Raw genomic sequence first — 13284 nt, forward strand, 5'->3', positions numbered from 1 at the left:
TCCTGAGTTCAAGTGATTCTTCTGCCTCAGCCTCCCAAGTAGCTGGCACTACAGATGCAAGATGAGTGCCACAGTAACCAGCACAACTCCAAATCTTATGCAGCCATGGTACATTTGTCAAAACTGAGAAATTAACATTGGCACATTAATATTAACCAAACTACAGATTTTATTTCAATGAGTATTACCAGTTTTCTCACTAATGTCCTTTTTCTGTTCCAGGAGCCAATCCAGGATACCACATTGCATTTAGTAAGCACATTTTACAATTACGATATAGGCATTAAAAGGTCTGGAACGAGGCCCAGCGCGGTGGCTCATGCCTGTAATCCCAGCACTTTGGAAGGCCGAGGTGGGCGGATCACGTGAGGTCAGGAATTCAAGACCAGCCTGGCCAACATGGTGAAACCCTGTCTCTGCTAAATTAGCCAGGTGTGGTGGCACATGCCTGTAGTCCCAGCTACTTGGGAAGCTGAGGCAGGAGAATCCTTGGAACCCGGGGAGCGGAGGTTTCAGTGAGCCGAGATCGCGCCACTGCACTTCAGCCTGGCGATAGAGTGAGACTCCGTCTCAAAAAAAAAAAAAAAGGTCTGGAATGATTCAGCACAAACTATTAACTATGACAACTATGACAACTGTTACCAATGGCTGGGGGTGGCGGGAGTGGATTTGATTCTTATTTTAGATTTTATTTTATTTTTTATTTATTTATTTTTTTTGAGACAGAGTCTCGCTTTGTCACCCAGGCTGGAGTGCAGTGGCACAGTCTCGGCTCACTGCAACCTCTGCCTCCCAGGTTCACGCCATTCTCCTGCCTCAGCCTCCCAAGTAGCTGGGACTACAGGCATCCGCCACCACAACCGGCTAATTATTTTTGTATTTTTAGTAGAGATGGGGTTTCACCATGTTAGCCAGGATGGTCTTGATCTCCTGACCTCGTGATCCACCCGCCTCGGCCTCCCAAAGTGCTGCAATTACAGGCATGAGCCACCACACCCGGCCTAGATTTTATTTTGTAGGTGATTTTAAACACTCTATAATAAAAAGCAGGCTAGGGCTAGCCGCAGTGGCTCATGCCTGTAATCCCAGCACTTTGGGAGGCTGAGGCAGGCGGATCACTTGAGGTCAGGATTTCAAGACCAGCCTGGCCAACATGGTGAAACCCCGTCTCTACTAAAAATACAAAAATTAGCCGGGTGTGGTGTTGCACACCTATAATCCCAGCTACTCAGGAGGCTGAGGCATGAGAATCGCTTGAACCTGGGAGGCAGATGTTGCAGTGAGCCGAGATTGCACCATTGCACTCCAGCCTGGGCAACAACAGCAAAACTCCGTCTCAAAAAAAAAGAAAGCAGACTGGGTGCAGTGGCTCAGCCTGTAATCCCAGCACTTTGGGAGGCTGAGGCAGGAGGATAGCTTGAGCCCAGGAGTTGAAGACCAGCCTGGGCAACATGGTGAAACTCTGGCTCTACAAAAAAATACAAAAATTAACCAAGTATGGTGGCGCACACCTATAGTCCTAGCCACTCAGGAGGCTGAGGTGGGGGCATTGCTTGAGCCCTGGAAGTCGAGGCTGCAGTGAGCCATGATTGCCCCACTGCATACCAACCTGGGGGACAGTGAGACCCTGTCTCAACAAAATAAAAAGCCAAAATATTGTACAAAATATTTATTTTCCTTAGCTACAGTCAGGGTCACATGCGAGGTGAAACAGGCTATAAATTTTATATATTAGTCAGGCAGGTGGCTCATGTCTGTAATCCTAGCACTTTGGGAGGCTGAGGCAAGAGGATTGCTTGAGCTCAGGAGTTTGAGACCAGCCTGGGCAAGATAGTAAAACTCTGTCTCTACAAAAAAATAGCTGGGTGTACTGGCATGCACCTGTAGTCCCAACTACTCAAGAGGCTGAGATGGGAGAGTCGCTTAAGCCTGCGAGACACAGGCTTCAGTGAGCCAAGATCATGCCATTGCACTCCAGCCTGGGAAACAGAGCAGGATGCTGTCTCTCTCTCTCTCTCTCTCTCTATATATATATACATATACATACATATATACACACATACATATATATACACACATATATACACACATACATATATATACACATACATATGTATACATACATATATATACACATACATATGTATACATACATATATATATATATATATATATATATATAATTTGGCATTTAATGATGAGGTAGTGAAAAGCATCCCCATATACTCCAGAGACCCTTTCCTTTCATATCCCTTTCAGTTTTTGTTTGTTTGTTTGTTTTTGAGATGGAGTTTCACTCTTTTTGCCCAGGCTGGAGTGTAATGGTGCGATCTCGGCTCACCCCAACCTCCGCCTCCCAGGTTCACGCGATTCTCCTGCCGCAGCCTCCCAAGTAGCTGGGATTACAGGCATGCACCACCATGCCCGGCTAATTTGTTGTATTTTCAGTAAAGACAGGGTTTCTCCGTGTTGGTCAGGCTGGTCTTGAACTCCCAACCTCAGGCTATCGGCCCACCTCAGCCTCCCAAAGTACTGGGATTACAGGCGTGAGCCACCGTGCCCGGCCTCATATCCCTAACTTTCATTGCATCCCTTACTGTGCAAAAAATGGGCTAAATCTCAGCCCACTGAGGTCCTTCCAGCTAAAGTCTGGAAACAGAATTAATGAATTCTGGCTGTAGAATTAATGATCATCACTATGTATGTATATGTGTCTGGCACATTCTCAAATTTGTGATTCCTCTTATTTTCCATCACACGCCAGGTATTTTGTCTTCCCAGGTTGACACGTAGAAAGAAAAGTACTATTTATTCTTTTATTCTTTTTTTTTTTTTCGAGACAAGATCTCACTCTTGTCTCCCTGGCTAGAGTGCAGTGGTGTGATCATAGTTCATTGCAGCCTTGAACTCCTGGACTCAAGTGATCCTCCCACCTCAGCCTCCCTAGTAGCTGGGACTACAGGCACACACCACCACACCTGGCTAATTTTACTTTATTTCTTGCAGAGATGGGGTCTTGCTATGTTGCCCAGGCTGGGCTGGAACTCCTGGACTCAATTGATCCTCCCAGCTCCACCTCCCAAAGCACTGGGATTACAGGCATGAGCCACCATGTCTGGCCTTTAATAGTGCTTTCTTTCTTTCTTTCTTTTTTTTTTTTTTTGAGACACAATCTCACTCTGTTGCCCAGGCTGGAGTACAATGACACAATCTCGGCTCACTGCAATCTCCGCCTCCCGGGTTCAAGCGGGTCTCCTGCCTCAGCCTCCCAAGTATTTGGGACTACAGGCACGTAGTCACCACACCTGGCTAATTTTTTGTGTTTTTAGCGGAGACAGGATTTCGCCATGTTGCCCAGGCTGCTGACCTCAGGTGATCCACCCGCCTTGGCCTCCCAAAGTGCTTGGATTATAGATGTGAGCCACTTTGCCTGGCGAATAGTGCTATTTTTTTAAAACACCTACTGAATATCTGAGTGAGTCCATAAAGTCCTTAAGATGGCCAAAATATCGCTTTGGGTGGCTGAGGCAGGCAGATCACTTGAGGTCAGGAGATCGAGACCAGCCTGGCCAACGTGGTGAAACACCTTCTCTACTAAAAATGCAAAAATTAGCCAGGCATGGTGGCACGCACCTGTAATCCCAGCTACTCAGGAGGCTGAGGCAGAAGAATCGCTTGAACCTGAAAGGCGGAGGTTGCAGTGAGCCAGGATAGCACCACTGTACTCCAGCCTGGGCCACGGAGCGAGATTTCATCTCAAAAAAAAAAAAAAAAAAAAAAAAGGCTGGGCACAGTGGCTCACACCTATAATCCCAGCACTTTGGGAGGCCAAGGCGGGCAGATCACGAGGTCAGGCGGTCGAGACCATCCCAGCTAACACGGTAAAACTCCATCTCTACTAAAAATACAAAAAATTAGCCGGGCGTGGTGGCAGGCGCCTATAGTCCCAGCTACTTGGGAAGCTGAGGCAGGAGAATGGCGTGAACCCGGGAGGCGGAGCTTGCAATGAGCGGAGATCGCGCCACTGCACTCCAGCCTGGGCCACAGAGGGAGACTCTGTCTCAGAAAACAAAAGGCCAAAATAATAACACATCTTTGCATTGGAGTTATTTTTTGGATATAGCTCCCCCAATGTACACATTGGGTGTTGTTAACTCAAACAGAAAGTATCAGAGAGACTCTTGAATCTTGGTTTGGTTCCTCATTGGCTGTGCAAACTTGAGCAAGTTCCTTAACTTCTCTGAGTGCTTATTCCCTCAGCTGTAAAATGGAGCAAATAGTGCCTTCCTAGATGAGTGTCAGGATTAAGGGACTCAGTCTAGTCCCTGCCGTATTGAGAATAAGCAATAAATGGTCATTATTGTTATAATAATTTTGGTCATTATTTATGAAAGTGGTCTAAAAAGTCACTTTTTCTTTATGATTTGTGCATTATTTTTGGAGGGTAGGGTCTTATTTAGCAAATATTTTCCAGCTCACTCTGCCCTGAAGATCATATTTTCTTCTCAAAGTTTTAGTTTTGTTCTTTCCCATTCAGATCTTTAATCTATCTAGAATTCATTTTTATGTGGGAAGTGAAATCCAGTTTTTCCCCAGATGGATAATAATTGACACAGCTCCTTTTCTTGAAGAGTCCATCTGTTTCCTCCGTCCGGTATCATGTTTCCACATATGCACGTGGCTGTTTCTAGGCTCTCTCATCTATTCCACTGTTTCTTTTCTGTCCTAACAGCAATGTGTCTTAATTACCATAGCTCTATAATATGTTTTTATATCTGTTAGGGTGTGTGTCTCATGATGTTCTTTTTCTTTCTCCCTTCCTTCCTTCTTTCTTTCTTTTTCTTTCTTTCTTTTCTCTCTCTCTCTCTTTCTTTCTTTCTTTCTTTCGTTCTCTTTCTCTCTCTCTCCCTTCCTTCCTCCCTCCCTCTCCCTCTATCTCTTTCTTTCTTTCTCTTTTTCTTTCTTTTTTCCCCCTCCCCTCCTCCTCCTCCTCCTCCTCCCCCTCCTCCCTTTCTTCTTTTTTTGAGACAGACTCTCACTCTGTCGCCAGGCTGGAGTGCAGTGGCGCAATCTTGGCTCACTCACTGCAACTTCCGCCTCCCAGGTTCAAGCGATTCTCCTGCCTCAGCCTCCCCAGTAGCTGGGATTACAGGCGCGCGACACCACGCCCAGCTAATTTTGGTATTTTTAGTAGAGATGGGGTTTCTCCATGTTGGCCAGGCTGGTCTCAAACTCCTGACTTCAAGTGATCCTCCTGCCTCGGCCTCCCAAAGTGCTGGGATTACAGGCATTAGCCACCACACCCAGCCTCTTCTTTCTCTTCCTCCTCCCCCTCCTCCCCTTCCTCTTCCCCTTCCTATTCCTCTTCCTCTTCTTCCCTCCTCCTCCACCTCCTCCTTCTTCTTCATAGAGATAAAGTCTCACTATGTTGCCCAGCTGTTCCCAAACTCCTGGCCTCAAGAAATCCTCCTGCTTCGGCCTCCCAAAATCGTGTGCTGGGATTATAGGTGTGAGCCACCACACTCACACCAGATGTTCTTTTTCTGCAAAAACCTTGGCTTTTTGATCCTTAGCTCTTCCATATAAATTTTAGAATCAGTTTACTAAGCTCTGCCCACATACAGCTAAAACATGTTGGGATCTTGATAGAAATTACAGATTAATTTTGGGAGAATTGAAATAGTGATGATATTGCATTTCCCATCCATGAACATGGAATACCTCTGTAAATTTAGACATTCTTTACTCTGACTGCCAATACAGTTTTGTTAATTTTTCCTCAAAGATCTTACATATCTTTTTTTGTCTGTTTTATACCTAGGAACTTCATATTTTGTTTTAGCAATTGCTTTTGGAACTTGGTTAACAGCATCGTCTTCTGTCTCACTTGAATCTGACACAGAGAGTTTTTTATGTTTTTGGTTATTTTTTGTTTTACTTTTTATTTTGAAATTAAACTGATGAAAGTTGCACAGATAACACTAAGAAACCTGTTTACCTTTTACCCAGGTTCAGCCAATATAAAGATTGATACATATCCTCCCTCTCTCCCTGTATCTCTTTATATTTATGTCTATATATAACATATATATACACATACATATATATTTCCACGTGTGTGTGTGTGTGTGTGTGTGTCTCCACTTTTTTTTTTTTTTAGTGAGACTAAGTCTCAGTCTGTCACCCAAGCTGGAGAGCAGTGGCACAATCTCAGCTCACTGCAACCTCCACCTCCCAGGTTCAAGTGATTCTCTTGCCTCAGCCTCCTGAGTAGCTGGGATTATAGGCGTGTGCCACCACGTCAGCTAATTTTTTGTATTTTTAGTAGAGATGGGGTTTCACCATATTGGCCAGGCTGGTCTTAAACTCCTGACCTCGTGATCTGCTCGTCTCAGCCTCCCAAAGTGCTGGGATGACAGGCGTGAGCCACTGCGCCCCGCCATTTCCACATTTTTTTGAGATGAGGTCTCACTCTATTGCCCAGGCTGGAATGCAGTAGCATGATCATGACTCACTGAAGCTTAGAACTCCCAGGCTCAAGCAACCCAAGTAGCTAGGTTCCCAAGTAGCTAGGACTACAGCTTCCCAAGTAGCTAGGACTACAGGTGTGTGCCAACATGCCTGACTAATTTCTTTGATTTTGTAGAGATGGGGCCTCACTGTATTGTCCAGGCTGGTCTCGAACTCCTGGGCTCAAGCAATCCTCCCACCTTAGCCTCCCAAAGTGCTGAGATTACAGATGTGAGCCATTATGCCTGGCAGATTTTTAATTTTTTAAAATTATATATATATACACACACATATATATGTATAATTTTTTTTTTTTTTGAGATGGAGTCTCGCCCAGGCTGGAGTGCAGTGGCGCAATCTCGGCTCACTGCAACATCTGCTTCCCAGGTTTAAGCAATTCTCCCACCTCAGCCTCCTGAGTAGCTGGGACTACAGGCATGAGCCACCATGCCCAGCTAATGCCATTAGTTTTTGTATTCTTCCTCCTCTCTTGCAGGAATTTCACCCAGGGACAGCATAGAGTAGGCCATTGGTAAATGCTGTACCTGTCAGTCCTTCATCATCTCCTGATAGGACCCTTGCAGTAGACTTTTGTTGTTGTTGTTTTGTTTTGAGACAGAGTGTTGCTCTGTTACCCAGGCTGGAGTACAGCGGCGTGATCTTGGCTCACTACAACCTCCACCTCCTGGGTTCAAGCGATTCTCCCGCCTCAGCCTCCCAAGTAGCTGGGATTACAGGCATGTGCCACCACACCAGGCTAATTTTGTATTTTTAGTAGAGACGGGGTTTCTCCATATTGGCTTAGGCTGGTCTCGATCTCCTGACCTCAGGTGATCCGCCCACCTCGGCCTCCCAAAATGCTGGGATTACAGACATGAGCCACTACGCCCGGCCAATACTATTCCTTTCATGGCCTCTTTTTCCCACAGGGCTAAGTCCAGCATCTCAGCCTGGCACCCACAGGGTTCTGCCCCGCCCACCTCCCCGGCCTCCTAAATTGCTACTCTCACTCCCAGGGACCTGAGGCTTCACCAGGTTACCTACCCCAACCATGGGTCCTCAGGCCCTCAGTGCAATAGAAATTGACATGAGGTGGCCAGGCGCGGTGGCTCACGCCTATAATCCCAGCACTTTGGGAGGCTGAGGCAGGCGGATCACCTGAGGTCAGGAGTTCCAGACCAGCCTGACCAACATGGTGGAACCCTGTCTTTACTAAAAATACAAAAAGTAGCTGGGCTTGGTGGCAGGCGCCTGTAATCCCAGCTACTCAGGAGGCTGAGGGAGGAGAATTGCTTGAATCCAGGAGGAGGAGGTTGCAGTGAGCTGAGATCGCGCCACTGCACTCCAGCCTGGGCGACAGAGCAAGATTCCGTCTCAAAAAAAAAAAAAAGAAAGAAAAGAAATTAACATGAGGGCCAGGCACAGTGGCTCACACCTGTAATCCCAGCACTTTGGGAGGCCGAGGAGGGAGAATCACTTGAGGTCCAGAGTTCGAGACCAGCCTGGCCAACATGGTGAAACCCCGTCTTTACTAAAAATACAAAAGTTAGCCGGGCATGGTGACGGGTGCCTGTAATCCCAGCTACTCGGGAGGCTGAGGTGGAGAATCACTTGAACCCAGGAGGCGGAGGTTGCAGTGAGTCGAGATAGCACCACTGCACTCCAGCCTGGGCGACAGAATGAGATCCTGTCTCAAAAGAAAGAAAGAGAGAGAGAGAGAGAGAGAAAGAAAGAAAGAAAGAAAGAAAGAAAGAAAGAAAGAAAGAAAGAAAGAAAGAAAGAAAAGAAATTGACAGGAGGCTAAACGAGTTTTCCTAGACAAAGCTTCATTGGAGCTTATGCCCAGACATAAAGGAGGCAGCATGAGAGAGAGAGGGAGAGAGAGGGAAAGAGAGAGGGAGAGAGAGGGAAAGAGAGAGAGAGAGGGAAAGAGAGAGAGAGAGGGAAAGATATAGAGATTTTTCTATCTGACTCTCCAAAAAGAGCCAGGAGGGCTTTTTTATTAGGCAAAGCATGGGAATTTACATCAGGGATAGGGCATGCCGGCTGTGCTGGGCAAAGCACGTGAAGGTATGCAGGTTGGCATTATCTGGTTGCCATGGTTATCTTGAGTTATGGGCCACCTGGTAGTCTGGCTGGTGGCAACAAGGCTGTCAATCAGTTCAGCATTCCTTCCTGAGGTGGGACACTCCACAACCTTGGTTTGATATTTGAATCTCCTAAGGTCAGTTCCTGGGATTCTCTTAAGTAATAGGCATGTTTCCACATGATGATGTCAGTGAAATCGTGGTATGGGTCTGGTGATCACTGGGAATGCAGGAAAGAATGCAGTGGTTGGGCCAGGTGTGGTGGCTCATGTCTGTAATCCCAGCACTTTGGGAGACTGAGGTGGGCGGATCCCTTGTGGTGAGGAGCTGGGCATGGTGGAACAAGCCTGTAATCCCAGTTACTCGGGAGAGTAAGGCAGAAGAATTGCTTGAACCTGGGAGGCGGAGGCTGCAGTGAGCTGAGATTGCACCACTACACTCCAGCCTGGGCAACAGAGTGAGATTGTCTCAAAAAAAAAAAAGAATGCCCTGGTCGGGGTGAGCTGAAGCCAAGCCCCGCTTCTGCTGTGTCTCAGTATGAACTCCGGGGGATTCACCCAGGAATGAAGAACGCAGGGCCCCTTCTCCACCTCTCTTCACACAGCTGCCTCTGCCTGAACTGACCTACCCCCCGGCCTCCCATAAAATAAGGCAGAGACCCATGAAATTCCTCCTGTCTCCTAATTGATACCGCCTCCTTTTTCTCACACTTGGAATGAGCTCCTTATGTCTCAGATCTAATCCCCCTGACTCTTCAATCAAGGGCTTTCTCCTGTGTCCCCCACAGACCTGGGACAGCTCCCTTGCCGGGCTGCGAGCTTCCTAAGGGCAGGGCCAGCAGGGGATCGGAGGGAAGCTGTGATACATTGTGGTGCACCAGGCAGGCAGCACACTCTTTGCAAACTTTTACATGAATACACATGGGGATTTACAAGCTAAAAACTTTCAAGTGGGCTGGGGCGGGCGCGGTGGCTCACACCTGTCATCCCAGCACTTTGGGAGGCTGAGGCAGGAGGATCACTGGAGGTCAGGACTTCAAGACCAGCCTGCCCAACATAGTGAAACCCTGTCTCTACCAAAAATACAAAAATTAGCCAGGCGCGGTGGCGCATGCCTTCCTGTAATCCCAGCTATTTGGGAGTCTGAGGCAGGAGAATCACTTGAACCTGGCTGAGAAGTGGAGGATGCAGTGAAACGAGATCATACCACTGCACTCCAGCCTGGACAACAGAGTGAGACTCTGTCTCAAAACAAAACAAAACACAACAAAAACAAACAAACCACAAACACACACACACACAGCAAAAAAAAACTTTAATGTGGATACACGTGGGGGATTTCCAAGCTAAAAACCAAATTCTGCTGTGGTCATGCTGGGGTGAAGGCTGAGAGTTTGCAGTTCTAACAAGCTCCCAGGTGTTACTGATGCTTCTGGATGGAGACCACTTTATGCAACAAGGGCCCAGCTGGCTAGGGAAGGGAGGCAGCTGAGAAGCTGAGAGCCCAGGTGGCAGCAGCCAGCATCCCACGGGTATAAGATGGCCAGAGGCGGCTGCCTGCTGCTCTGCAGGTACCATGGAGCTGAGCTATAGGCTCTTCATCTGCCTCCTGCTCTGGGGTAGTACTGAGCTGTGCTACCCCCAACCCCTCTGGCTCTTGCAGGGTGGAGCCAGCCATCCTGAGACGTCCGTACAGCCCGTACTGGTGGAGTGTCAGGAGGCCACTCTGATGGTCATGGTCAGCAAAGACCTTTTTGGCACCGGGAAGCTCATCAGGGCTGCTGACCTCACCTTGGGCCCAGAGGCCTGTGAGCCTCTGGTCTCCATGGACACAGAAGATGTGGTCAGGTTTGAGGTTGGACTCCACGAGTGTGGCAACAGCATGCAGGTAAGAGAGGCTGGGGGCCCTGGCTTTGGTGGGAGGATGTTCGAGGCAGCCGGGTATGGGGACTGTGGCCACCATCGGTGGGAGGTGGGGTTGGGTGGATCCCTCTCACTTGTAGGTGGGGAGGTGGCCCAGTTGAGGCCTGAAGCTGGCACTGAGGTCACCGGACCCAGGGCAGCTCCTGCCTCTGATGCCCGACATTGGGTCGATGGGGTGGAGCCAGAGGTGGCCGTGCACTTCAGGCTGGCCCAAGCCACGCCACTCTCTCTCAGGTGGGTTTGTGACACACACAGGCCTGCGTGATAGGATAGCCCTGTGGGTAGCCTAAGGGGCTGTTTCTAAGGCTGGGGGCATTAGGAACTCATCCTGAAGAGACCCAAAGTATACATTATCTTAAAAACAACAAGTGGGCCGGGTGCAGTGGCTCATGCCTGTAGTCCCAGCACTATGGGAGGCCAAGACTGGAGGATCACTTGAGGCCAGGAGTTTGAGGCCAGCCTGGGCAACATAGTGAGACCCCATCTCTTAAGCCTTTAAAAAAACTAACTGGGGCCTGGTGTGGTGGCTCACGCCTGTAATTCCAGCACTTTGGGAGGCTGAGGAGTTTGAGACCAGCCTGGCCAACATGGTGAAACCCCATCTCTACTAATAATACAAAAATTAGCCAGGCATGGTGGTGCGTGTCTGTAATCCCAGCTACTCAGGAGGCTGAGGCAGGAGAATCGCTTGAACCCAGGAGGCAAAGGTTGCAGTGAGCTGAGATTGTGCCACTGCACTCCAGCCTAGGCAACAGAGCGAGACTCTGGCTCAAAAAAAAAAAAAAAATTCCACATAGATAAGTGGTATGGGGGCGGGGGCATCATAACCTTGGTGTTAAAGACCTTAAAAGCATCAGTGGGTCCCTGGGGGCAGCTCCAAGGGGGAGAGGCTTAACCTGTGGTACATGCAGGAAAAGACCAAGAAATCCAGGCCAGACCTCCCTTTCCCTAGCCAGTGGGGAAAGAGGCTGCAAGGAGAGGCCTTACGGCAGGGCAGGGCTGGGCACACAGCTCCCCAGCTAAACCCTGATCCCTGGACCAAGTTCCTGTGGTCCCATGGAGGGCCTGTCCTCTCCCGCCTCAGGGGAACCTGGCTCCTCCTCACCTGGGCCTAGACCCAGTAGCTTGCCTGGGATGGGGGCAAGTCCAGCCCCTGGAGCCCTCCGGCCAGAGCTCTGGTCTTAACTGTGGTCTCCTGGGCTCTCTTTGAGGACTCGAGGCCCTTGTTTTCCTGGGGAGGGAGGCCAGAGAGCTGCAGGAGTTACTTGAGGAATTATTCCAGTTTAGAGGCTCACAAACATGTCTTAGATTTACTTGGGGAGCCAGGTGCCTGGCTCCCCCCCCTTCTGTGAAATGGGCTTTAATAGGTTAGAAGCTGATAAGTGGTATTTTTTTGTTGTTGTTTTTGTTTTTTGAGACAGTTTTGCTCTTATTGCCCAGGCTGGAGTGCAATGGCGCCTATAATCCCAGCACTTTGGGAGGCTGAGATGGGAGGATCACTTGGGCCCGGGAGTTTAAGGCCACCCTGGGCAACATAATGAGACCCCCTTCTCTACCAAACACCACACACACACACACACACACACACACACACACAATAGGGTGTGGTGGCGCCTGCCTTTAGTCTCAGCTACTTGGGAGGCTGAAGTGGGAGGATTGCTTAAACCCATGATTTGGAGGCTGCAGTGAGCTACGATTGTGCCACTGCATTCCAGCCTGGAAGGCAGAGCAAGACCCTCTTTTATTAACCCCACCTGTGGAGCTTCTAAAAATCCTGATGTCCAGGCTGCTAAAATAGAAAGGATGTGGGACCAGCTGTGGGTAATAAGGATCTCAGGTGACTCCAATGAGGAGCAAAGCCTGCAAACTCCTTCCTCTGGTGTGGTGTTTCCCAGTTTTGCCCGGTGAGAATCACCTGCGGCTGGCCGTGCGCAGTGGCTCACGCCTGTAATCCCAGCACTTTGGGAGGCCGAGGCGGGTGAATCACGAGGTCAGGAGTTCAAGACCAGCCTGGCCACGATGGTGAAACCTCATCTCTACTAAAAATACAAAGAAGTTAGCCGGGTGTGGTGGCGGGCACCTGTAATCCCAGCTACTCAGGAGTCTGAGGCAGAGAATTGCTTGAACCCGGGAGGCGTAGGTTGCAGTGAGTTGAGATCGTGCCACTGCACTCCAGCCTGGGCAACAGAGTGAGACTCCGTCTCAAAAAAAAAAAAAAAAAAAATACAGCCATGGCCAGTTTCCCAGGTATACAACCTGTGCAGTTCTGTGGGGCCCAGTGCTTAATGGAATGCCCTCTTGCCCTGAAATGGTAATAACTTTTGAATAAGGGGCCCCACGAGCTATGCTGGTTCTGTCTGTGCTGGGGCACTTGCTAATAAGGTCTAGGACTATTCCCTGAAGATCGAGTTTGGTCAGGGCCAGGCAGCCACCTGAGCTCTTGGGCAACTTCGACCTCCTAGGCTCAAGCCATCCTCCTGCCTCAGCCTCCTGAATAGCTGGGATGGACTACAGGCACATGCCACCGTGCCCAGCCAAGTTATGTTTTTGTAGAGATGGGGTCTAGCTCTATTGCCCAGGCTGGTCGTGACTTCCTGGCCTCAAGCAATCCTCTTCCCTCCCAAAGTGCTGGGATTACAGGCATGAGCCACTGCACCCAGCCCTCAAGTAGTTTTTAAATAAGCTCCCTGAGATGAGAGGTGGGGATAGTGAGCTTAGAATAGGTGGTTGGGGGTTGAGTCATGGTGGCTCACACCTGTAATCCA

The 13284-nt window shown here is 49.0% G+C and overlaps 1 protein-coding gene across 2 annotated transcripts in view, besides 3 other annotated features; it reads left to right on the plus strand.

Annotated features, from left to right (window-relative positions):
- Nucleotides 1-13284, plus strand: part of ZP3 (zona pellucida glycoprotein 3) — a 44548-nt gene that overhangs the window by 17271 nt on the left and 13993 nt on the right. Inside the window, exon 2 of one of the 2 annotated variants that reach the window (NM_007155.6) lies at nucleotides 10260-10484. In NM_007155.6, coding sequence (NP_009086.4) covers nucleotides 10326-10484 — 159 coding nt within the window. In that variant the 5' untranslated portion in view covers nucleotides 10260-10325. Of the gene's footprint in view, nucleotides 1-10157; nucleotides 10485-13284 lie in introns of those variants that run through there. The other variant, NM_001110354.2, reaches the window with a different exon arrangement.
- Nucleotides 6340-6634: an enhancer, noted in NCBI's record as "tiled region #7220; HepG2 Activating non-DNase unmatched - State 9:DNaseU". NCBI's record gives its function as "activates a minimal TATA promoter and a strong SV40 promoter by Sharpr-MPRA in HepG2 cells {active_cell/tissue: HepG2}" and the evidence as "EXISTENCE:reporter gene assay evidence [ECO:0000049][PMID:27701403]".
- Nucleotides 6340-6634: a silencer, noted in NCBI's record as "tiled region #7220; K562 Repressive non-DNase unmatched - State 22:ReprW". NCBI's record gives its function as "weakly represses a minimal TATA promoter and a strong SV40 promoter by Sharpr-MPRA in K562 cells {active_cell/tissue: K562}" and the evidence as "EXISTENCE:reporter gene assay evidence [ECO:0000049][PMID:27701403]".
- Nucleotides 9260-9554: a silencer, noted in NCBI's record as "tiled region #8731; HepG2 Repressive non-DNase unmatched - State 21:Repr, and K562 Repressive non-DNase unmatched - State 20:ReprD". NCBI's record gives its function as "represses a minimal TATA promoter and a strong SV40 promoter by Sharpr-MPRA in HepG2 and K562 cells {active_cell/tissue: HepG2 | K562}" and the evidence as "EXISTENCE:reporter gene assay evidence [ECO:0000049][PMID:27701403]".

Source organism: Homo sapiens, chromosome 7, assembly GCF_000001405.40.
Source record: "Homo sapiens chromosome 7, GRCh38.p14 Primary Assembly".
NCBI lineage: Eukaryota > Metazoa > Chordata > Mammalia > Primates > Hominidae > Homo > Homo sapiens.